Raw genomic sequence first — 25,738 nt, forward strand, 5'->3', positions numbered from 1 at the left:
GAACCCAAATAGCCAAAGCAATTCTAAGCAAAAAGTACAAAACTGGAGGTATCACCGCAACTTCAGACTATACAATGCTACAGTACCAAAACAGCATGGTACTGGTACAAAAGAAAACACATAGACCAATGGAACAGAATGAAGAGCCCACAAATAAAGCTGCACACCTACAACCATCTGATCTTTCATGAATTCAACAAAAACAAGCAATGGGGAAAGGATTCTCTGTTCAATAAATGGTGCTGGGATAACTGGCTAACCATATGCAGAAGATTGAAACTGGACCCCTTCCATACGCTATATACAAAAATAAAGTCTAGATGGATTAAAGGCTTAAATGTAAAACCTAAAACTATAAAAAACTCTAGAAGATTGCCCAGGAAATACCATTCTGGACATAGGCTTTGGCAAAGATTTCATGGCAAAGACACCAAAAGCAATTATAACAAAAATCAAATTTGACAAATGGGACCTAATTAAACTAAAGAGCTTCTGCACAGCAAAAGAAACTATCAACAGAGTAAACAGACAGCCTACAGAATGGGAGAAAATATTTGCAAACTATGTATCTGACAAAGGTCTAATAGCCAGCATCTAAAAGGAACTTAATTCAACAAGTAAAAAAAAATAAGGAAAGTAGGCAAAGGACAAGAACAGACACTTTTCAAAAGAAGACACATACACAGCCAACAAGCATATGAAAAAATGCTCAGCATCACTAATTATTAGAGAAACACAAATCAAAATGACAATGAGATATTGTCTCATACAAGTTGAAATGGCCATTATTCAAAGGTAAAAAAAATAAAAGATGCTGGCAAAGGTTGTGGAGAAAAGGGAATGCTTATGTACTACATGTGGGAATGTAAATTAGTTCAGCCATTGTGGAAAGCAGTTTGGAGATTTCTCGAAGAGCTTAAAATAGAGCTACCATTCAACCCTGCAATCCCATTATTGGGTATATATACTCAAAGGAATATAAATCATTCTACCATAAAGACACATGCACACATATGCACACATATGTTTATCACTGCACTATTCACAATAGCAAAGACATGAAATCAACCTAAAAGCCCCCCATTTTTTTTTTGAGATGTCACCCAGGCTGGAGTGCAGTGGCGCAATCTCAGCTCACTGCAACCTCTACCTCCGGTTTCAAGCAATTCTCCTGCCTCAGCCACGCCCAGCTGATTTTTGTATTTTTAGTAGAGAAGGGGTTTCACCATGTTGGCCAGGCTGGTCTCAAACTCCTGACCTCGTGATTTTCCCACCTCAGCATACCAAAGTGCTGGGATTACAGGCATGAGCCACTATGCCCAGCCTAAATGCCCATTAACAGTAGACTAGATAAAGAAAATGTGGTACATATACACTACAGAATATTATGCAGCCATTAAAAAAACAATGAGATCGTGTTCTTTGCAGGAACATGGCTGGAGCTGGAGATCATTATCCTAAGCAAACTAATGCAGGAACAGAAAACCAAATACCACATGTTCTTACTTATAAGTGGGAGCTAGACAATGATTACATATGGACACAAAGAAGGGAACAACAGAAACCAGGGCCTATTAGAAGGTAGAGGGGAGGAGGGGGGTGAAGACTGAAAAACTACCTATTAGGTAATATGCTTGTTGCCTGGGTGATGAAATAATCTATATACCAAACTCCCATGATACACAATTTACCTGTCTAACAAATCTACACATGTACCCCTGAACCTTAAAGTTAAATAAACATAATTTGTATATCCACGGGGAAACAAAAAAATTGTGTGTTGTGCTTTATTGTTGTGGTCTGGAACTGAAGCCACAATATATCTAAGGTATGCCTGTCTGCCATAATTTGTTTATCCAGTTCATCCATTGAAAGACATTTGGGCTGTTTCTATCTTTTGATTTTTGTGAATAATGCAGCTATAATGTATACATGTACTTGTTTGAATACCTGTTTTCAGTTCCTTTGGGTATAAACCTAGAAGTGAAATTATGGTGTCATATGATAATTTTATGTTTAACTTTTTAAAGAAATGTCAAACTCTTTCCACAGCAGCTGGACCATGTCATATTCCCATGAGCAATGTATGAAGGTTCCAATTTCTCCACATCTTCACCAACACTTGTTTTTTTCTTTTTAATTATAGCCATGTTATTGGGTATGAGGTGGTACTTCATTGCGGTTTTCATTTGCACATTCCTAACAACTAATGATACGAGCAAATCTTATCATGCAATGGTTAATGTTTCAAGTCACTAAATTTTTGAGTCATTTATTATGTAGCATTATCTAATTGACAAGAAAAGTTAGCAAAATTAAATGGCCCTGTCCTCATCAGACTAACAGTGTAGTCTAAATGAAAGACTATCATCTAATAATATACAAATAAAAGTTAAGTTAGAACTGTGGTTGGTGCTATGAAGGAGAGATCTTCAGTGCTATGGGAGCACACAACAGACCTAATTTGGGATGTTAGGGAAGGCTCCCCTGAAGGAATTACCACTGATCTAAGATCTAAGGATGAGTAGGATTTAACCCGATCAAGAGGAGGGTAAAGTGAGTATGTAAAAATGCCTATGCTGGAAGGTAAGATGAAAAACAGGAAGAGTTGAATGAGGTCACAGTGACCCAACAAAGAGAAACTAAGAAATACAGACACAAGATGAGACAGGAAATACATGTAGAGGCCAGGAAATACATGTAGAGGCCAAGGCCTTGAAGGCCAAGTTAAGGTATTATACCTCTACTCAAGAGCAATGGGATACAATGGGTTATCATTAAAGGTTTTTAGGCAGTGTGTAACAAAACAAATTTATGTCTTGAAAAGATCACTCTAATACAGAATTGGAGAAGGAAAAGAGTATAAGTTGAGAAATCATTCAGGAGGTTATTTTAGTAGGAGAAAACACTTTGATATAGTAGTAGTAGTAAATATAAAAGGATGAGAAAATTCAAAAGCTATCTCCATAAAATCAATTTGTCTTGAAAACGTATCAAATAAAAGTCAGAACAAGATACCAAAGATGACACCTCGGTTTCTGGTTTGAGTAAATGGATGCAAGATGATGTCCCTCATTGAAACTGAGAACGTACACTGAGGACTAAGTTTGGGACAAGTCTGGAATTTGGCTTTAGACCTGTTGAGTTTGACATGTCACCTAATTAAAGATAGTGAGTAACAACTGTAACTACAAGTCCGATGCTTAGATAAAATGTTGGGTTAGACATAAAAATTTGTGAGTGACATACATGGTGGAAATAATTGAAGTCAAGGGTGTGGATTAGGCCCTATAGGAAAAGAATGTAGAATATCAACAGAAGAAAGCCAGGACTCAGACTTGTGGAACCAAATATGTCTACGGATTTGTGACAATCAATTATTGATGACGTCGGCAAAAGTTGTTTCTGGGGAAGAGTCAGGAACCAGACTGGAGGGGATTTAGAAGTGAGTGGAAGGTCAGTAACTAACTCTCTAGGACAGTAGTCTTCCTTATCCACAGTTGCCCTTTTTCATGATTTCAGTCAACCACGATTTGAAAATATGACATACAATAAGATATTTTGAGAATGAGAGAGAAAGGGACCACATTCGCATAATTTTTATTGTAGTATATTGGTAAACTTTATTATTGTTGTTGTTAATCTCTTACTGTTCCTAATTTATAAGTTAAACTTTATCATAGCTATGTATATATAAGAAAAATATATAGTACATAGAGTTCAGTACCACCGTATCCATGGTTTCAGGTATCCAACTGGGAGTCTTGGAACGTACCCCCGACAAATTAAGGGGGACTACTGTGCTGTGTTAGTTATGGCATTATCTTCCTGAGTTCGTCAAACTCAATCACTCCCAAGCCAACTTGTCAGGGTTCATTCTGAGATCTTTCTGCCAGCAACCCACTCAAAGTCCAGCCTAGCCTAGGCCTGTCTCAGGCTGGTGGAGAAGCCCACACCCAGACTCATAAAGCGGAAGATTCCCTATGTCCTGGGGAGGAAGTAATTTTAGGATATTAAAGTATGAAGGGTCATTTGGTCCAAATATTAATTTAGTCTGAATAGAATCTGGCTAGAAAGTGCACAGAAGCCCCCCACCCAAAAATTGTCAATCAGATAAATTATCTTAGTATGCCAAAAATTATCTAGACTAGAGAAAATTTCAGCCAAATGTGAATTGCCTCTATTCATTAAACAAACACATATTGAACTTTGTAACACATGGGATCCCTTTCCCTGAGACATAAGACATAAGACATGGGACTCCTTTCCCTGAGAAATTTTTGATCTAGAAAGGATGTCAGAGAAGTAGACCCATGGCTACAGTGTGGAGTGATAAGAGCAAACACAAGGAAGGAGCAACCTAGACTGGTGTTTCAATGGAGGCTTTTGAGAAGATACCATTGTTGAGTGGCATTTTGAATGATGAATAGAATAAGATAGGAGGATGAAGAAGCAGAGTAGAATAGTGAAAGGCATTCTAGGCAGAAAGCTCAGAGGCATAAAATAGCACGCTGCATTGAGCAATTCAACACTGTATATCCAAAGTGCAAGGGGATGAGTCAGATGAGGTAACCTGGGCCAGAGCATGAAGAACGTTGTATACTGGTGTGTTAGGCAAGAACTTTTTGGTTTCAAGTCACAGAAACACGATACAAATAGCTTAAATAACAAAATGTGGAATGCAGTGACTCAGATACTAGAGAGTTTAGGAGGTAAATGAGTTTTCCAGTATGGCTGGTTACAGTACTTGGCTGATCATCAGGAATCTTTCTTCAACTCAGGCCTAACTTGCAGTGGCCTGAATTGGATCTTGTGCCCATCCCTGAATGAATCTCTAATACTCTAGTTAGCCAAGCCTGGGTCATGTGCCCACAGTTAGTTCCAGGCAGTTCAGTCAAATCCATCCAATGTGGAGTGAAGAGTGGGGCAGGGAAAAATAATGGATCAGGAGTCTTCCTTCAACTCAGGCTTAACTTTGCAGTGGCCTGAACTGGATCTTATGCCCATCCCTAAATGAATCTCTAATACTCTAATTAGCCAGGCCTGGGTCACGTGCCCATAGTTAGTTCCAGGTAATTCAGTCAAATCCATCCCATATGGAGTGATAGCGGAGCAAGGGAAAATAGTGGATGTCCACCCCACCATGCAAAGAGCTTTAAACTTTATCCTAAGGATAAAGGAAGTCACTGAAAGATTGTAAGCAGGGAAGTGGAGTGATCAGATTTGCACTTTAGAAAAATCTGTGCAGTAGCAGCAAAGCAAGTGGGTCAGAGGAGTTCAGACTTGAGGTAATTCCAACTCCTGCCATTGTTGAGAGGATAGAGATCAGAGCCTGAACAATGGCCATGAGGATGGGAAATTACCTAGTTCCCTTCATGGGATTATTAAAAAAAATCCATCAGTTAGCCACAATGACCCAGTTTTTATTCCCACTTTCCACCTAGATTTTAGGCAGAAATCAGAGAAACAAGGCAGAAATGGTTTCTCTTTGCTGGCAGCCACTTCTAAAAGAATAGAACAGATTTTAAATCCTTCTGATCTCTTAGGCCCTATGACTCTACGTAAACCCAGAAGAATTCAACCACATATGCATATGCTTCATGCCACCAGTGTGAGGATTCTTGGTATCTAACATCATAATGTGTTTCTCTACACACATCTGAAGTGTTATCTTTGACTTTATTCAACTGGAGATAGAACTTGGAGAAACTGAGAGTCATTGCCCATCACCCAGAATGCACCCTGACTTCTGGTTTACGGCATCATCCCACGAAATGCTGCCTTAGATGTATGGAAAAGGCCACACATGATTATCTTAAACATGTACAGCATTTTAAGCCTACAAAAGCACTTTTCTTACACATTAATTCATTGATTCCTCCCAGCAACTCTATGACATGGAGAGTAGTACTCCCATTTTGTAGATAAAGATAAGAGGCTCAAAGAGGGGAAGTAAATTGCCCCAGGCTCCACTCTAGGAAGAGGCTCGGTGGAAGAGTAGAGCAAGTCTTTGTATTAAAATCTTACTTCTCCCATTAGATCTACCTTTGAGTAATGGTTGTGAGCAAAGACTCTGGAGCCAGATTGCCAAATTTAAAATCTCAGCTTGCTGCAGATTAGCTAAGTATTTTAAGCAACAGATTCCTATAATTTGCTGACCCTCAGTTTTCTCAATTGTGAATAGAATTTTTTAAAAAATCTACCTCAGAAGGTTGTTGAGAGGATTAAGCAAGTAAATACAAACATATAAGATGATCTTATAATTTATTGCCCAAAACATTATATTTCTGAGTGTGAAAAGAGGTACTAAAAATGAGTAAAATGCATATTACTTTTGAAATAATGATGCGCAGTTCAATTAAACTTATTTACTGACCCCAGAAAATATTTTAAGCTTATTGATGGATCTATAAAATAGTTCTATTCAAACACTATTTCAGAAATAATTTTTTCCCAAAAACAATACATATCAGTATACATTAAGCCTAAATTTTTTGGCTTTCTGAATATTAAAAAATATATATAAGCAGAATATTCATGTTGGGGCATATTCACATTCTTTAATCAGTTGCTTAGCTTTATTTGGCCCTTTCCTTGCAGGCTATGTCTCATGGGCCTTGGCACATCTAGTTGGTCCACTGAGTGGCCATCAAGAACCGCACTGTGGAGGCCGGGCACAGCGGCTCATACCTGTAACCCCAGCACTTTGGGAGGCCCAGGTGTGTGGATCATTTGAAGCTAGGAGTTCGAGACCAGCCTGGCTAACATGGTGAAACCCCGTCTCTTCTGAAAATACAAAAATTAGCCAGGCATGGTGGCGCACACCTGTAATCCCAGCTACTAGGGAGCCTGAGGCAGGACAATCACTTGAGTCCGGGAGACAGAGGTTGCAGTGAGCAGAGATCATGCCACTGCACTCCAGCCTGGGCAACAGAATGAGACTCTGTCAAAGGAAAGGGAAAGGGAAAGGAAAACGGGAAGGGGAAGGGGAAGGGGAAGGAAAATCCAGGATAAAAGCTAAACTAAACAGGATACAGCAGGACATTCCCAGGCAAGCTGAATAGGTAATTTATGTACCCTAAGAATAAAGCTCTAGAACAAGGTCTGGCTCTCAGTAAGGAATAGGTAAAGACTAGCGATTTTTATTGGTTTAGCCTTCATTATTGTTGTTGCTATTACCATGGTACCAGTTTTGTTCATTTATTATAAACAGTTCACTGAGCTTTATAACTACTGTCTTGTTTAATTTTCCCCAAAGCCCAACTGCTGCATTCTTTTACTTCTATCTGCATGGCCCTTCAAGGCATCTGAGTGGGTAATCCCTGGATTTAGTCTGGAGTCTGAATCACTACACTGTGCTTTCTCTTCCTATTCTCTATTCCTGTAGTTGTTTTAGTATGAAGCACTATCCACTGGATATAATCTGACATACTATCTTATATATTCCAGATGTTTATGTTAGTCACCTCCACCCCAAGATTAGAAATCTCTTGGGAGCATGGACCAATGTATCAATCACAGTTTTTAGATGCAAGCAACAGGAACCAACTCTGGCTAATTAAAGCAGAAACAGGATTTTATTAAAATATATTACATAGCTCACAGAATCTACAGAAGGGCTGGAGAACCAGGCTTAGAGGCTCTGCAGCCCAGAACAAGGTCCCAGATCCACCACAGAACTGGTTGGTCCTGTGAAAACAAACAGCATCACTGGACACAGCCCTCCCAACAGCCACATTGCTGGACACTGCAGATAAACTGTTGTCACAACCACTTCAGAAACCTCTAGGTTGCTGCTGTGACCATCAACCTCCCTAAGATAAAAATTCAAGTGTTCTGAGGTTTTTTGTTTCATCAGTTTCCAAAAAACAGGTGAGTGCACCCAATTGGTAGAACCCAGTCACGTGCCCATCCTCCAGCTGCAAGAAAGCGAGTATTTGGTATTTTCAGCTTCTTTGGTCATGAGAAACATTGCATTGTATGAGGAAAATTCCTACAAGCCTAGGGAGGGTGCTCAAGAACTAGGCAGTCAAAACTCAAGACAAATGTCTCCTGCATCCATGACTTGCTGTTCTTTAGTGTCACTCTCAGAACTGAGCACCATTGAACCCTGAAGACTTGCTTTCTGCCGACATCACAAATTATCCAAGTGATGCTGTGGAGATTAATTTTAAAAGCGGCACTTCAGACAACAGTGAAAAATGGTAATGTAGCTATTTTCTCATTGGCATATCCGAATATAAGCATCACAGAATCCCTTTCTATTCAATCTCGTTGGTAGTACAGAGGTTCAAAGTAGTCTACAAATTCACTGAGAAACTGAGAACCAAATAATTTATAGATGACTATAACTACTATAAGTTCCTTTGATCTCTCAACTTTAAGGCAAAGCAGGAAGAAAAACAATAAAGGAAGGGAAAGGCATTTTGCATCCATTAATCAAGTGGCTGCTTTACAATATAACACTTAACTCCTTCATAGTCACTGTTCAATTAAGTCGCAAATCTTTCCTACCAAAGCCTGATGATTTCAAGACAACTGAGATTACAACAGTGGATGTAGAGCATCTTTAGCACCATAGCACTGAGCAAAAAAAACACCCAAGAGAAATGAGAATTAAAAAGCCCAAGGGCCATAATCTAAAGAAGCTACCAAAGAGCACAAAACATACAAGTTGACCCCAAACAACCTGAAATAAAAGGTTCCAACTACCACTCATCAGACAAACCATGGCCACAATATTGATTGGGATATGACAACTTAACAGCAAGTTGAGAATTGTTCCCAGACACCAGGCACCTGCCATAAGGCAGAGACTGTTGACTTATCATGGTTCCCATGCTAGACACTGACAATCTAACTTCCCAAATATTTATGTGCCAGGCACTTCACTTGGTACTTTGATGCAAAACCAAGGTATATAAATTGCCATCCCTGATACTCCCAAATTTATCATCTGTAGGAGGTAAGAAGTCAAGAATTCAAATGGCTATAAGGCAGAACATGGCAAATGCCCTAAAGGTGGTACAAAGTGCATATGGATTCAATGGAGGGAAAGAACATGGAAGTCAAGAAAGGCAAATGATAGGAAGAGAATGCAATGAATGCCTGAAACCTCCTTGACTGCAAGCCATTTTCACAGATTATGAAAGACAGTTAGGGCTGAAACGGATCCTTCTACAGATTATCTAACACAACCCCCTCTTTTTAAAAACTTTTATTTTAGGTTCAGGGGTACATGTGAAGGTTTGTTATGTAGATAACATACAAAGTTTGCCGTGACACAGGCAAACTTGTGTCACGGGGGTTTGTTGTACAGATAGTTTCATCACCCAGGTATTAAGCTCAGTACCCAATAATTATTTTTTTATGCTCCTCTCCTTTCTCCCACCCTCTATCCTCAAGTAGACGCTAGTGTCTGTTATTCCCTTTTTTGTGTTCAAAAGGTCTCATCATTTAGCTTGTAAGTGAAAACGTGCAGTATTTGGCTTTCCATTCCTGCATTAGTGTGCTAAGGATAATAGCCTCCTGTTCCGTCCATGTTCCCACAAAAGACAAGATCTCGTTCTTTTTTATGGCTGCATAGTATTCCGTGGTGTATATGTACCATAGTTTCTTTATCCAATCTGTCATTGACAGGCATTTAGGTTGATGCCATGTCTTTGCTATAGCAAACAGTGCTGCAATGAACATTTGCGTGCATGTGTCTTTAGGGTAGAATGCCTTATATTTTTCTGGCTATACCTAGTAATGGGATTGCTGGATGGAATGATAGTTCTGCTTTTAGCTCTTTGAGGAATTGCCATACTGCTTTCCATAATGCAACTACCTCTTTTTTGCACCTAACATGACGCTCTCAAGTGAAGTGGCTAGCAGAGCCAGAATTAGAGTCCAGGTTTTCTGACTCCTACACCTATATAATCCCTTAGAGTCAAGAGACACTTAAGGAAAAGAAAAATTTCCCATCCTTTCCTGTGCCTTAAATGCCACTTCTCTCCTTATGTCCCATTTATGGAGAAAGGCTATTTGATCTTGTCACTTGGCAGTGTGGCAGTGAAGTACATATGTTGGGGAGGAGGGTGGTCACAGGGACACAGAGACTCTGAGGGTCTGTCCTGATATCCTCCAGAGACAGCTGCTTAGCTTAGCTGAAATGCTGACCAAACCCCTGTTCTAAGAAAGGCCCTCAGCACATAGGTGGGTGGAGATGGTCGAGAAAAGGCCAAGGATTGCCAGTATCTGAACCAGGGACTGAGTCTCTCTTGGAAGTAAGTATTGAAAATTGAATCTGAATCCGATACAATTTGGCTGGAGCTCTGTCTGAGCAGGGATGACCTCAGGTGACTCAGGTTCAGGATATCATCAGTGGGCACCTAAGGACACAGTGCAGGACAAGCTTGGCAGCAGCATGGAAAAGGGTGAGAACGCCACACACTTTGTCCATAGCCAAGAAATCAGGGCCGTGGAAACCTAACTGGGCTTTGAAATTAGCACTTCACGGAGCGGAGATTGATTCCTCCTTGGTTCTGTTTCCCCGACGCTGGCAGCAGATTCTGTCTAATAATTAGCTGGTGATAGTCCATATCATTTCCTTCCTAGGATGCTCCAAAGTTTCACAAAGCCTGATACACTTATGTTAATTTTCTTTTTTCTCAACTTTCTGGGCATGGTGTTTTTGTTCTTGTTTGGTTTTGTTTAGTTTTGGTTGCAAAGTGGGTTAATTGGCCTCCTTCATTAATCTAGTGAATTCCTTTTTTGATTTTCAGATATTTTCTTTCCTTTAATGTCAAGACCAAGAACTGGCTATTACTAAGTATCTTTGACCTCAGGCTAAAGTCTCTAGGTTTTTATGTTATCATTAAGCTACTTGTTCATCAAGGGCTTCTTATGGGAACATATTTCCTGCAAATAATAGGCCCATTGCAGTTAGTTTTGACTGGTTTGGTCTTACTAGCACATTTACTGCCACCAAAACCACAAATGATTCTCAGTACATCACAGCCTGATCCAATTATCCTGAGTCCTCCAGTTCCCACGTCCTTAACTGTCATAAACTTTCTGAAGATGACTCTGTAATAATTTCTGCCATGTGCTTAAGTCTTTATGGCATGTCTTTTTATGGAAGATTTCCTTAAGGATGCATCATGGTCAAATTTCCTTTCCTACTGACCAGATTGAGCTCAAGGAAGAAGGGAAAACAGTCTATCTGAATCCCAAACATCCCTAGATTGTCATGGCTACTGTAGTTAAAAAGAAAAAAAAAAAGTCACTTTCTGCAACAATAGTCAGACATCATGGCACTTTCTAGATGCCAGGACTATGCTAGATACCTTAGGAGCACCACATAAAGAGATGATTTTGTCCATAAATCCTTTGTACTTGTACCTTGGGGGCAATCAAGAGGCAAACTGGTTAGCATGACTTAGAATCAGGAGGCTATGTGTATTCTTAGCTCCATGTCTGACAGCTGAGTGTGTCTCAGTTTCCTCTTCAGTCTCCTCCTCACAGTGCAAATAGACTGGAAAAGATCTTACCATAGAGGCTTTAGAATGTCTGCAAGTGCAAGAATTATTTTTACGGGACATTTCTCCTTTAGTCTATGGCAATGAATGCATATCCTCATCACTTTCAAAGGCAGTGTTGGCTGGACTCAGAATCAAGACATGAGTGATCAGGGTACTTCATCTCCCTGCTGCAGCCTGGCAGGTGAGTGCAGCTTATCCTGCTGGCAAAGGAAGTGCACCAACTCAGCTCCACTCGCTCTGTGAGCTTTAAGGTACTTAGACCCTACATCCATGTCTTCAGGGGCAGCTTGATCAGCATAAGAATTTGCTATTTTCATAATTTGCAGAATAAATTAAAACATGAGAGATTTGGATTAGATAACATGTTACTTTCCTAATTGGAAGTTGGAACACTAAAATATTGGCATCATGTTCCTCTGAACTCTTAAAATTGAGGTTGATAACAACATGTCATGTGCAATGAAACCAGATAACAGAAGAAAGGGAAACTCTCATTTTTTGTTTAGATGTTATTAATGTGTCACACATTTATACACATGGCACTGTGTGGGAGGTATTATTTTACCCATTTTACAACTGAGGAAACAGAGACCTTCTCAAATTTGTACATTTTAGAATAGTCAAAATTCTACCTAGACCTGTCAGATATCAAATTTCCTGATTTTTCCAACGCAGCAATTCATCCAAAGGCAGTCATATTATCATTTTATTATAGATCCCTGACTTCTCAATTCCATTCTTAAAGCCCCTTGTCTAGCACTATTAGACCTTTTTATTCTTTGTTAATAAACTATTTGCTTCTAGAAGACTTTGCCTTCTTGAAAAATATTAAAGATCCTAAAATATCTTAGGAAATTGAAACACTTTAGAAAAACAAACAAACAAACAAACAAAAAACACTGCCTGAGTAAAATCTTTAACGGCGCAACATCCTATGGCCTGACAAGCGTGGTGGGCCATAAGTGTCGTCTGCTGAAAGCTGCTTCAGCCCTTTAACCTAGGTCAGCTTGAGATGAGTAGGATAGAAATGAGGAGCCGAGCAGGAATATGAAAGTCCTGACAAATTGATAGGAGTATTCAATTCTACACACTAATATGAATGGTGACAAATTCTCAGAAATCCTGTTTTGTCAATAGAGATTTTAGGGTATTAGAAACCAAGTTCACATAAGCTGGTGTAGATGTTCCCCAATCAGCTGGTCCTATTGGGTTCTCTTCAGTACTAGAATTTGAAATATATGGGTCAGTTTGAGAAGGTCTCAAGCCCATGTTTGTACAAAAATAATTTACTTATGTCACCTCAAAACAAAGGTAGTCTTCAGAAAATTCGGTAACCCAGAATTTGAGGTCTCTATAAAAGAAGTGGTCCTCACTACCTGCTCATTGCTCTCCTAATCCTGTCCTTCATTGGCCTCCAAAGATGGTTAGCAGATGGGATTCTCTCCAGGCCATATATATGGCCACATACTGCTAACCCTCCCCCATGTTACTCCTTCCCTTGCCCATGACACATATCACTAATTACAGTACTCTTTCCTGTTACGGCCAGATGTAGCCTCAGAATCCTTCTCAACATAGCTTCAGATGACCACTAGCAATCATTTGGAACTGGCATTCAGAAGATCTATGCTGCCAAATCGCCCTAGGGACTGCTGAATAGTGAGCTTCCCTTGTCGAATTCTCCCAGAATCCGAGTCACTGTTCAGAGAAGCATCCAATAGAGGATGAGAGAAGAGCTTTGTTCATTACTATCTTAAGAAAACACACTTGGGAATGAACAAAGCTCTCGATCTTTAAAATGCTTATAAATCACCCGTGGATTTGTTAAAATACAGATTTTTATTCATTATCTCTGGAATTTATCCCCTCTTAACTTTTCCTCCTTTAGTTTCTATCTCTTTAATTATTTGTGCTGCATCTTGAGAAATCTTGGGAGTTAGTGTTATAGTGCGATGGTTAAACACAAGGGCTCTTTTTAGATTTAAGACTAGTTGTGTGACTTTTGGCAAATTACTTATCCTCTTGGCCTTAATTTCCTAATCAATAAATTGGGAATGAAAAGAGAACCTACTTTATATCATTCTTGCAAGGATTAAATGAAATTATACATATTAAATGCTTAGAATAATGTTGGGCACAAAATAATTACTCAATTAATATCAGATAAAATTAATATTTCAACACAATTTTATGATTCACTAATTGACTCTTCAGTTATGTCTAAGTTATGTCTAGTTCACTATGTCGAGTCTTGTTATATCAACAACCTTATTTTTTATTGCCATTATTTCTAAGTGGTTCTTTTTCATAATAACCCATTCTTGATTTATAACATCATATTTTTATATATCTATATAGCTATCTATATGTCTATGTATAGATACTTTCACCTCTTTATCTCTTTGAGGTTATTAAATGCATTTACATTTTTGATTTTATAAAATTACCTTTTTTTACTTCCTTAGATGTAAGCTCTTTTTTGAAATTGTGCTTTCCTGTCTATCTGGAGGTTTTTAGCTAGGAACTTATTATGATCAGGAGATTTTTCAAGATTTCAAAAATAATCTGCTGGATTATAATTTCCACATACGAGCTTTGAGCAGGGAGCATAGTGCCAGTACACAGGCCTCAGTCAGACATCTGTATAGAGATCACCCTGCGGGAGAACTCAATTCCAGGCCCTGTCCCTGCAGGCACAACCCAAGCCTAGCCCATGGGTTTAGGACAGATGTCACTGCCATGACTCCTGGCCTTGTGCTGGCCGCTCAGCTCTCACTTCAGGTGGCTCCACTGTAGACTGGCAGGGCAGTTCCATTGCTGGCCATCCTCTGGCCTCAGAAACACCCACCTTCTTAGAGCCTTTTCTTATATCATCCAGGTTCAGCCATTTTTTTCAACTGCTCTGAGTCCTATTTGACATTTTTTTGTCTGCATTATTCTCAGGCTCCTCCCATGTGCTTAATTGCTTCCCACGCTCACTTGTACCACATACTCTCCTGAACCCTGTCCCCAATGTTACAATTATATTTAATGAGGCAAGATATTCTGTGTGTGTGTGTGTTTGGAGGGGTAGGGGGGCAGGGTCTCGCTCTGTTGCCCAGGCTGGAGTGCAGTGGTGCAATCTTGGCTCACTGAAAGCTTAACCTCCTGAGCTCAAGCGATCCTCCTGCCTCAGCCTCCCGAGTTGCTGACACTACAGGCATGCACCACCACACCTAGCTGATTTTTGTACTTTTTGTAGATGCGGTTTTGCTATGCTGCCCAGACTGGTCTCAAACACCTGAGGTGAAGGTGTTCACCCTCCTCAGCCTCCCAAAGGGTTAGGATTATAGGCATGAGACACCACATCCGGCCAAGATATTCTTCATCAGAAACACTTAGGAATAAGTTTGTCTTCCCCTCCCTATTTCTACAGCCCCAAGTTGCAGAAGTTTTCAAACCCATAGTCTTTCAAAATCCCCCAATCTCTCCAAGCCTCCCATTTCTCTACAGTCATTCTTACAGGAGACACCAATACCTGTAAGGGCCCTGGCAAAACCAATCACTTGGTATGACAGCAAGTCTTGAAACCAGGAAGGAGGAGGGGGCAATAAAAGTGCCAGCAAGTGGAGAAGCTTACCGTATTCATCCAGATCTCAGCTCTCCACAGCCCTTCCCCTTGCTCTATGGCTTTCTCTTTATAGTTACTACAGAAGTCCTCTACAAGGTATAGCTCAGATGTAACACTTCAGAACACATTAACCATCATGACAACCTCATGGTAGATACTTTTTTCCTCTCTCCTGTGGTATGGACTGGACTTAGTAACTGTTTCTCCTTCCAATCACACACACACGTTAGCTTGTGTACAGACACACACACACACACACACTTCTCAAGATGAAAAAACTCGTGTGATAAGACTTGCTGCCTTCTTCCATGATTCATTTCCCCCTTTTCCATATGCTCTCTGCCTGCATAAATACCTTTAGCCTATTCATTAATTCCCTGGTAAATGTATTCAATTCTTCCCTCTGTTCCTTTTTTCCAACACTCCATTTGCTTTTTAGAAGTTTTAGCTCTAACCTTATGCTCTCTGTCTCTCTAACCCTGCAGTGATTGTCACTGTCTTTCTGTGTTTCTCTTTCCTCAAAGTCTTATAAAATAGAACATACTGCAAAGCAGTGGTGTTCCTGGGATTTAGCATTTGGGATGGCAGATGGGGTGGTAACAAATCTGCCTGTGGGGGCTGGGTACATCCCCCAGCACTCCCAATCTATTACATACATTTTGAATGAAAAATGTTAAAGATAATGGAATTAAAAGCACATTAATAAACCACTTAATCTATTTAGGAGAAGTTGAGAAAAGAAACTCTTTACTAATACTTAATCTAGTACAACTCACATATAACTGAACATAATCCCCTTGATCAGCAAGCAGGTATGAGAGATTTCGCTTTTGTGGTCTCACTACAACTTAGGCATTGATGAAGAAAGCACTGGCAAAGGCAGCTCCAGTATCAGAAGTTAAGGTTGGCTGCCAATCATGTTTTGTTTAGAATCTCTTCTTGAACCCTGGTTTTTACTCACTGTTTTCACTCAAACTATCCACAGACTCATTTTTTAATAAGACCAGGATGGCTCTTGCCAAATCGTAATGTTATAATTATTCCTTTTTACATATTCCTCATTTAGATTGCAAACTCTCTAAAGAGTAAAGACTGTCAGTCTGTTCCATGGGATGCCAGTGTGCAAAGTAGGAGGGAAGTAGAGCACCTCCTATCTAAAAGGAATATGCACTGTGCAGGCATTTCACCTCTTCATTCTTCTGTAATCATTGCAACCACCTATGTTCACAGATGTCAGTATGGAAGCTCATAAAGGTGAAGTAATTTTACCAAGATCATAAAACTAGTAAGAGAGCTTGGATGCAAACCCAAGTCTTGACTCTAAAGCTTGTGTCCTTTACACCACACTGTGCCACTCAGTGCTGCACGAATACATGATGAGTGATGAATGAATGAATCAATCCATCAAACAAGCCTGGACCCAAGGCACTTAAATTCTGCCAGTTCAACTTTCTGATTGCAAAATAAAGGGTGGCCATTTAATAGTGGATGTGAAAAATAAAAGTGTTCTGTGAAAAGAATGATATTGACCTCTAAATCAAAATTTTCAACATTTAGATATGCAAAAAAATAACAGCAATAACTCTCCTTAAAATACTAGAAGCTACATCAGTTTTATTATCCCATCTGACAATTGACTGAATGAAAACAGAGAGACTAAGAGAGGCCTGGGTCAATGTCATATGGGCTATCTAGAATTAGAACCAAGAGCCTTTGAAAGTGGCATCCTCTGTCCATCAATCCATAATTTTTAAGATATTAATGTGCAATTTTTCACCACAAGCCCTAATGGAACCTGTACCAGGAGTAAAACTTTATTATCAGTTAACCAGTATTGAATACCTATCAAGGATAGACATTGTGTGAGTGCTGTTGGGTTTTCTAGAGTAAAAAAGCAGACTTCAGCTCCAGCCTCCTTTGTGATGTAACCATAGTGAAGCTAGAGAATTACATCGAGCACTGCAGATGGTATAGAATATCCTAATTACAATTCCAAATTACACTAAATGCCTTTCTAAATAGAAAAAGACCCAGATAAATTAATCTGAAAGGACATATAAAATTGCAGTCATGGGGAGATAAATCTTTCATTAGCAAATCTTTCCATTTGCCTGACCACTTCTAAGTAACTTTTAGATCACTAAGGATTCACACACATACACACACAATTTTCCACGGCTTATGAAAAAATAAAAGCATTTCCATTATGTTCTGTCTCTTTTGAAGAATACCCTGAGGATTTCTTCTAAAGTTGAGGCAAATCAGCATACACAAATACATCCATTTACAATCTCCTTGGAAACTAGAATTGCTGGTCAATTCAGGCAGCAAGCAGCAAAATGTTTTGTCCAGGTTTCCTTGAAGAGAGAAAAATATTGTGAAAAATTTGAAGGAGGATATACACTGAGTTTCAGGGTTTGATGTGCTAGCCTCTAAGGAACTACATTTCCATGCACCGGAAAGACTGCTGCTTTATGCCAAGTCTACATGCTGTGCCATCAGAATGAAATAAGCCAAAGAAAAATGATAGTAAAAATGGATACCATTTATAGAGCATTTAGCAGGTGCAGGCACTACACTAAGCACTATACTTATATTACCTCATGTAATTCTCACAACCACTCCAGGATGTAAGCATTGTTTTCCTCATTTTACAAAATAAAAAATGGAGTCTCAGAGAAGTTAAGCAGATCACTTAAGGTCACACAGCTAACAAGTGATGAAGTTGTATGAAACTTGGTGCCTGTCCTCTGAACACAATGCTGCATTTCCACAGGCACGACTGTGTTGTCAACAAGACCACCTTGCCTTCCCTCCCCAGCTCAATGATATAGTTACTGCCAAGCTTCAGATAAGATTTTCCATCAAATAATGCTTAAAAAGAACCACAGATTTCCAGCAAAGACATGGAACTGCTAAAACAAAGATACACAAACTGTTCCCACCGATTATATGGTCATTTATTTACCTATTCCTCATGACTCACTTCTGCAAAACTCTATACTGTAATGAAAAATCCACAATGAGGAAAGTAAACTATTTGTGCTCTACCTCTAGATGGACAAAAAGATGAAGAGGCATACTGACACACTCACGCACACACAAATGGAAAACACAGATTTGTTTTGACAACCTATTATACTACAAAAATATTTATGAATGTAAGCTGCAGCAAAGTGCATCCATCTTCCAAAAGCACACATACCCCGTCAAAGGCTGCTGAGATTCGGGGAAGGTGAGAATACCCTCCCATTTAACTGCCTTCAGGCTAAGGGGGGCACAAGAGGGAAGCCTCCAGTTTTCCATTATCAGGGTTTCTCATAATGTCATTCTTTTCACAGAACATTCTTATTCTTCACATCCACTGTTAACTGACCACCCTTTATTTTGCAATCAGAGAGTCGAGCTGGCAGAACTGAAGTGTCTTGGCAGCTGCAGAGATGAAACTCAACTGAACAAACAGATTCTTAAGTGATGCTTAGATGGAAGAACTTGGACATGGTTCAGATTTCTTAAAAATTTATTTAAATGTGTGATTGAATCCTGCTCATTACCCTCTCGGCAGTATATTATATATTCAGCTCTTTTATTTTATAATAATATTGACGGTGGAAAATAAAGGTACAATATTACCAACTCTTCTTATTATAGAAGAAGAGCAGCTTTGTTTACGTCATAAACAATAGTCAATAAATGCATATAAGTTAATTTTTCACAGCAGTCTATACCCAGAACTTGGATATGCTATTTTGCTCTTTGGTCCAAATTTCTTGAGACAAATAAATCCTTCTGTGTGGTAATCAGACTAAAGTTTTGGAGTAAACAGTGTGTGAGAACATGCAGACCCAAGATTAGAATGTTGCTTAATGTAGACCAATGACAGATGACTTTACTACAGCACTGCCTGCCACCTCTCTGACCTCCTTTCCAAACACTCCTCCCCCTTCACTCACTCTGCTCCAGCCATAGACCAATTTATTTTTATTTAATTTTTATTTCAATAGGTTTTTGGGGAACAGGTGGTGTTTGGTTACATGAATAAGTTCTCTAGTGGTCATTTCTGAGATTTTGGTGCAACCATCACCTAAGCAGTGTACCCAATATGTAGTCTTTTAGACCCATTTATTTTCCATGAATGTCCCAAGCATGCCCCCTTCTCACAGTCATCGCATTTGCTATTTCCTCTGCCTTAAACACTCTTACACTAGACGGCCACATGGCTTAACCCTTCACTTCTTTTAAGTGTCTCTTCCAATGTTACCTTCCATCTTCACCCACCACTCTCTATCCTTCTAACCTACTTAGTTTCTTCACATTTGCATCATCTGATGTATATTTGTTTGATTCCTGACTTTCTTCTCCCACTTGAAGGTTAAGTTCCAGGAGCAAAGGGACTTTGTTCACTGCAGTAACCCCAGCACCTGGATCATTACTTGCATATAGCAAATGCTCATGAATGAATAAAATGATGAATATCCTCAGAACCAGCTTAGGGCTGGGGGGCACAGTGGGGTGGTGGCCTAAGATGCCCATCTATAAAAGGGGGCTGAAGCTTCACTGAAAAGATAGTGAGATAAAGGATATTTATTTTAGAATTCCTCCGCAAATGTTTATAGAGGGAATACTTGGATAAACCACATAAGTCAGGGGGAGGATGAGCCACCCTCCCACAAGGGTGTTGGCTAAACTGCCCTGAAGGAGGGTGAGTACAATCAACTATAGGAATCTTCTTCTACTGAGTGGAGTTTTCAAGATTGAGTCAATTTGCTTGGGTCTAATAAAGAGAGGTCAAAAACAGCCACCAGTAGTTCTCCTCATCTGTTCCCTATGTCTTGCTCAGTCTCTCCTCTACATAAATGTTACACGAATAGTTAAATAATACTGGTTTGAAGGAATGTCATATCATCAGCCTGTCCTGTGTACCTACGTACATTTCCTCTGTTCAATAATCTACAGTGCTTCTCTATTATCTTCTGTCTCACATTCAAACTCCTCAGCTTGGCCCTTAGTCCCTGGAACCCATGAATATGTTACGTGACATGGCAAAAGGAACTTTGCAGATAGAAGGTTCTGAACCTTAAAACAGGGAGATTAGGAGATTATCCTTTATTCTCTAGTTGGGACCAATGTAATCACAACGGCCCTTAACAGTGGAAGAGAAAGGCAGAAGAATCAGGGTGATGCAGAAGAATCAGGGTGATACAGCAGATGAGTGAGGCACTGGAGTGATTTAAAGTATGAGATAGTCTCAAACTGCCTTTGCCAGCTTTGAAAATGGAGCAAGGGATCCATGAGCAAAGAAGGCAAGTGGCCTCCAAAAGCTAAAAACAACCACCATCCAACAGCCAGCAAGAAAACAGAGACCTCAGTCCTACAACTACATAGAAGTGAATTCTGCCAACAACCTAAATGAGCACAGATGCAGATTCTTCTCCAGAGCACAACTGCACCAACACTTTCACGTTCGTCTTATGAATTCCAAGCAGGGAAACCAGTTGAGCCCACTAGACTTCAGGCCCAGAGAACTATAAGATAATAGATTTGTGTCATCTTAAACTACTACATTTGTGATTATTTGTTATGGCAGCAATCAAAATCTAAAGCTAAACCTTTAGCGATTTGGATCCAACTTATGTATCCAAAACATCCCAGTGCTCTGAAACAGGAATCCACTGCTGCAGTCAAGTGGGTCTCCTTTCAGTCCCTAAACATGCTCATTTGTTTTTAATCCCACACTGTTTCTCCACTCAAACCATTTTTCCTGCCATACCAATTCAAATCTGGTGCTCTAAGGCTGAGTCAGATGCAAGTCTCAACTCTTTCACCTTTTAATTGGTTGCTCAATATGACTTTCCACTTAGGGACTTCCAAGTGTCACAACATGCTTCCAAAAATTATATATTTGTGGGCCGGGCACAGTGGTTTTCACCTGTAATCTCAGTGCTTTGGGGAGCTGAGGTGGGAGGATAGCATGAGCCTAGGAGTTCAAGGCTGCAGTGAACAATAATCATAGCACTGTGCTCCAGCCTGGGCAACAGAGCAAGGCCCTGTCTCTGAAGAAAAAAAAAAAAGTACATGCTTTTGTCAAGTGTCTTTATCATTTTCTCTTCCAACAAAACTTTAAGCCCTTTGTGAGCTGAAACTACATCTCCTTTGTTTCTAGCAAAACATAAAACAACAGATACACAGGAAATATTTCTTAGGAACTTGCTCACTTCACTTTAAATGCCCACCTGGAGATTTTTACATATAGAGAATATTTTGTAATTTGCTAAAATGACAAAATTTGAAAAAGTTTTCACAGCATAGTTGATTTCAGCTTGTATCACAGATCAGGTGAGCAGAGTCCTAATGATATGATCCAGTGACAGGAAGTACTTAATTGCATTCATATCTATCAACTGGATGTTCCTTACAAGGACAGAGTTCTCACCTGACACCTGCTTTCCCACTTTATCCTATTTCTGAGGACTTCAGTGCTAACGACATGAAAATCATAATCATACCATGTGGGGACAGCTCACCAATGCTAGTGACAGCAGTATTGTGCCTCATTGCCTAAATAACATCTCCAGCTTTCATTACAGTAGACAGACCAGATAAACAATGAAACCTGTTGTCCTCTCAAGAATAAGCTCTCATTTTTCATAATAAAGAGAAGCTGGGCTGAGTGCTGTGGCTCATGCCTGTAATCCTCACACTTTGGTATGAGAATCAATGAGTTCAAGACTAGCCTGGAAAACATAGTGAAACTCCATCTCTACAAAAAATTAAAATATAAAAATTAGCCGGGCAAGGTGGTGCATGCCCGTAGTCCTAGCTATTTGGTTGGCTGAGGTGGGAGGATCACTTGAGCCTGCCAGGTCCGGGCTGCAGTGAGCTCTGATTATTCTACTGCACTGTAGCCTGGGTGACAGAACGAAACCATCTCTAAAAAAAAAAAAGGAAAAAATAGAAAAAGAAAAAATACAGAAAATTTGAAGTTTTCATCTTGATTCTAAGAGGCTTTTGTTCTTTTTAAGGTACAAAATTATATTAAAACAATTACATAAATTTGGGGTGTATTTAAAATTAAAATATCATCTCATCACAAGAAAGATGAAGAAGACTCCTTGCTTTGCCCTTGAGCAACCAAGAACAGTTAAAATCTGTTTTAAATCCCAAAAATACAAAAGAGACTTGCTGGAAATAACAATGCTCAGTGCTCGCAACCCAAGTCAGTCTACACTGTTGTTATATCCATTCAAATTCTAAAGCCTACAAAAATGCCTTTGTTAGAGCAAAGGGGAAAAACTCCACCTCAGGACACTTATTCAAGATGAAAGAAAGGTGTATCTTCAGTGACAGAACTGCCTGCTATCAGATGATTTCGTGCTAATGTTTTTAAAGATTATGGACTTAACTTTCTTGGTTTTCTGGTAGCTGAATCTACTCTCGCCTCCTCTCTTTTTATGCTTGCCTTCATTGCTGTTCACATTCACATCAACAGAAGGAGGCACCTTGAAACCGAATGACAGAGCAACTTGAGGCAAATTTAAGTTATTAACATTAAAAATCTGTCTCAGAGAATGAGAATCATTTACTCGTATGTATGACTTATATGCTTCCTGGGCTGACTTATGAAGAAAGTAGTTCTTTTTCATTAATTTTACAAACCAAGACTGAATGTCAGAAATTTTAGGCCAGGAAAAGTCAAATTCACTTAATGGAACCTTGGGTTGCTTCAGGTAACAAACAAAACCCAATTCTTCTGGGCAAAAACTGAGCAAGGCATGCCCTCTTTCGTTTAGGTCCCTGGCTATTGTCCCCCGACGATGAACATATTCCTTAGGGTCATCTGGAGGATAATACTGAACAATCCAGCCAGGAATATCTAGCTCTCTCCCTGCCTCATCTGTACACAATATCCCTGAATCTGCATTACAGAACTGGAAAAAATGTAATTCTACACGTAATTTTGCTTCTGGAAATGAATGGCTGAGGTAGGCAAGTCAATGTAGTTCCGCAACTCATAGTGGTATTTTATGGACCTACAGGATGAAAAGAAGACCATCAGTTTCTTCTTTCAGTTCTTAAGGAATATAAAGAGCAAAAGGAATCCTTTTTCAGAGGGACGAACAACATATCCCCGCTTGAGACTATCCACTGTTGCAGTAGCTTTATCATTATCAACACCAGCATACATTTGTTCCTTTTTTTTTTTTTTTGGAGAAATCCTTGCCAGGTCTTCAAGTTTTTGAGTTTGTGTGGCGGAAAAGGGCATAGTCTCCATGTTCAAAGAAGTTTAATAATTTGCTTTAATTTCTCTTCAAACCCAGCATCCAAGATATCATTAGCCTCATCCATAACCAGACGCCATAGGTTTTTATACTTAAATCCTGCAGAATTCTGCATACAGCCCAGGAGATGGCCTGGTGTGACCACCAGTGCTGATCCCATTTGCAAGCTTCTGTACTTCAGCAGATCTGTTACTGCCACCCATTATCAACCCATGCATGTGCATATGGTGAGTCATTAGCTCCTTAAGAACACCAAGAGTCTCAGGACAAGCTGTTTAATTAGTGAGAGAATAAAGACTCCTGTTCCATTTCTGGACATGAATTTTAACTTAACAATTAGTTCAAATGCAGGGATGAGAAATGCCAGGGTTTTTGCCACTGCTGGTTTGTGTAGCTGCTGGAAGATCCTGCCTTCCATAAGTGGCCCATCATTTTTATGCTAAATTTCAGTCATGTTGGTAAAGCCCATTTCTTTTATTGCCTTCAAAGTGTTTTCACTGACAAAATTAGAGAAGAAATGAAGTATTCTCATCTCTCTCATTGTCTGGCTTCCCCCCAGTTTTCTGTTTCTTCAGGAGCCTCGATACCATCTTCTTCGGATTCCCCTTTGTTTTCAGTTTTTGCTTTTTTTGTATCACGCCCAGCATTAGTCACTATTTTTCTCTTGTTCTTCTTTTCTTTTTTGATTTCGAATCTAGAGACTGAATTGCTGCTTCTGCACTGGTTAGTATGATAGATTTCTAGTTTTCTTTAACTTTTACATTTTCTACTATTTCTTTAGACATGTCTCCATTTGGGGCTTCTGACAAGCCCACAATCATAACATGTTTTAGGGATTTTTTTAACTTTTCCATGCCCCACTGTTTCTTCTGACACATTTCCATTTTGAGCCTCTGATAGGCTCACATCCAAAGCCCCCGGTGGCTTTAGGTTTCACTGCCACCATTTGAAATTCTGCCTCTCCATCTTCTTGCACAGGAGTGTCATCCGTAGGTAAGATGTGTTCTTGGGGAGACGCCTTCACATCTTCACAGCAGCACCACTGTATGGGTCCTCCACTCTCCAAATGGCTTTTCATTAATATGCATGGCACTGAACAAACTTGCTTTATGGACCTCATATAACCAATCTGAAAGGTAGCAAGTTGTAAAATATCCATTATATTGTTCAGTATTTAAAAACATGTCTGTGAATTTTATTTATCCCATAATTATCCTCATTGCACTCTTACAGATAACCAACAGATTTAGACACTATTCAGTAAGAAAACATTGGGTTTTTTTATACCAATTGCTACCAACTTTTATTACAAATTGCATCTATTTTAATACAGAGTCATTCAGGGAACATCTACTGAGTACTGACTATATGGTTAAAACTTTCCACTTGCTATGAGTAGTTTAACTGAGATTAAAACTTGGTTTCTCCCCTTCTTCTAAGAACATAAAGCCTCAGTGATCTGGCTATTCCCTAACTTTCCAGCTGCAATTCCCACCAATCCCTGTCCACACAAGATACACACCATGAGGTCTGGGTTCTGTGACCTTCTTCATGATGTCTTCGTTGCCTAAAATTGTTCTATCTCCTAACTCCCCCAGCCTAGTTAATCCCAATTCAATCTTTGGAACTCAGTTTAATGTCACCTCATCCAGGAAGCTTCCTTACCTGCCCCTGCTTCACTTAGACTACCTTATCCCCTAAAGATTATGACTTTTTTGAGGGCAGGAATGAGATCTTTTTTGGTTTTGTAACCTTGGGACCTAAAATTGTACCTGGCACGTAGTAGAATCTCAATCAATACCTGTCGAAAGGGAAAGTTTTAAGCATAGTGGTTGTTAAGTAGCTTGTAAGAAAGTCAAAACATGGATGCAAATATTAAATATCAGCATAAGATGTATCACAGGATGGAATAGGTATATTTTTTTTCCTGGAGCTGCTGTACAAACTACCACAAATGTGGTGGCTTAAAACAGAAATGTATTCTCTCACAATTCTGGAGGTCAGAAGTCCAAAACCAAGATGCTGAGAGGACCACACTCTTTCCAAGGGTTCTAGGGTAGATTTCTTTCAATGACTCCTTCCTAGTTTCTAAGGGTGGCTGCCAACCCCAGTGTTGCTTGGTTTGTAGCTTCAGCATTCCAATCTCTATCTCTTTCTTTGCATTGCCTTCTCTTCTGTGTTGTCTGTCTTATAAAGATATATGTGATGGCATTTAGTGCCCATTCAGATAATTCAGGATAAACCCCTCCTCTCAAGATTCTTAACTTAATCACATCTTTTGCAATATAAGGTAATATTTGCTCTTTTACCACATAGGGTAATAT

General features: G+C 39.5%; 1 pseudogene, besides 3 other annotated features; it reads right to left on the minus strand.

The window, feature by feature from the left end:
- Window positions 13,839–14,008: an enhancer, noted in NCBI's record as "experimental_54344 CRE fragment used in MPRA reporter constructs". NCBI's record gives its function as "activates a minimal promoter by MPRAs in K562 erythroleukemia cells, with activity observed for both the introgressed and non-introgressed 2:161896568 variant alleles {active_cell/tissue: K562}" and the evidence as "EXISTENCE:reporter gene assay evidence [ECO:0000049][PMID:34662402]".
- LOC100131736 (DEAD-box helicase 18 pseudogene) lies at window positions 22,284–24,409 on the minus strand (annotated as a pseudogene).
- Window positions 23,864–24,033: an enhancer, noted in NCBI's record as "experimental_54373 CRE fragment used in MPRA reporter constructs". NCBI's record gives its function as "activates a minimal promoter by MPRAs in K562 erythroleukemia cells, with activity observed for both the introgressed and non-introgressed 2:161906593 or rs1559527 variant alleles {active_cell/tissue: K562}" and the evidence as "EXISTENCE:reporter gene assay evidence [ECO:0000049][PMID:34662402]".
- Window position 23,949: a transcriptional cis regulatory region, noted in NCBI's record as "Neanderthal adaptively introgressed variant 2:161906593 (GRCh37/hg19 assembly coordinates) or rs1559527 in the experimental_54373 CRE". NCBI's record gives its function as "modulates activity of the experimental_54373 enhancer by MPRAs in K562 erythroleukemia cells {active_cell/tissue: K562}" and the evidence as "EXISTENCE:reporter gene assay evidence [ECO:0000049][PMID:34662402]".

This window comes from Homo sapiens, chromosome 2 (genome assembly GCF_000001405.40).
Source record: "Homo sapiens chromosome 2, GRCh38.p14 Primary Assembly".
Taxonomy (NCBI): Eukaryota; Metazoa; Chordata; class Mammalia; order Primates; family Hominidae; genus Homo; species Homo sapiens.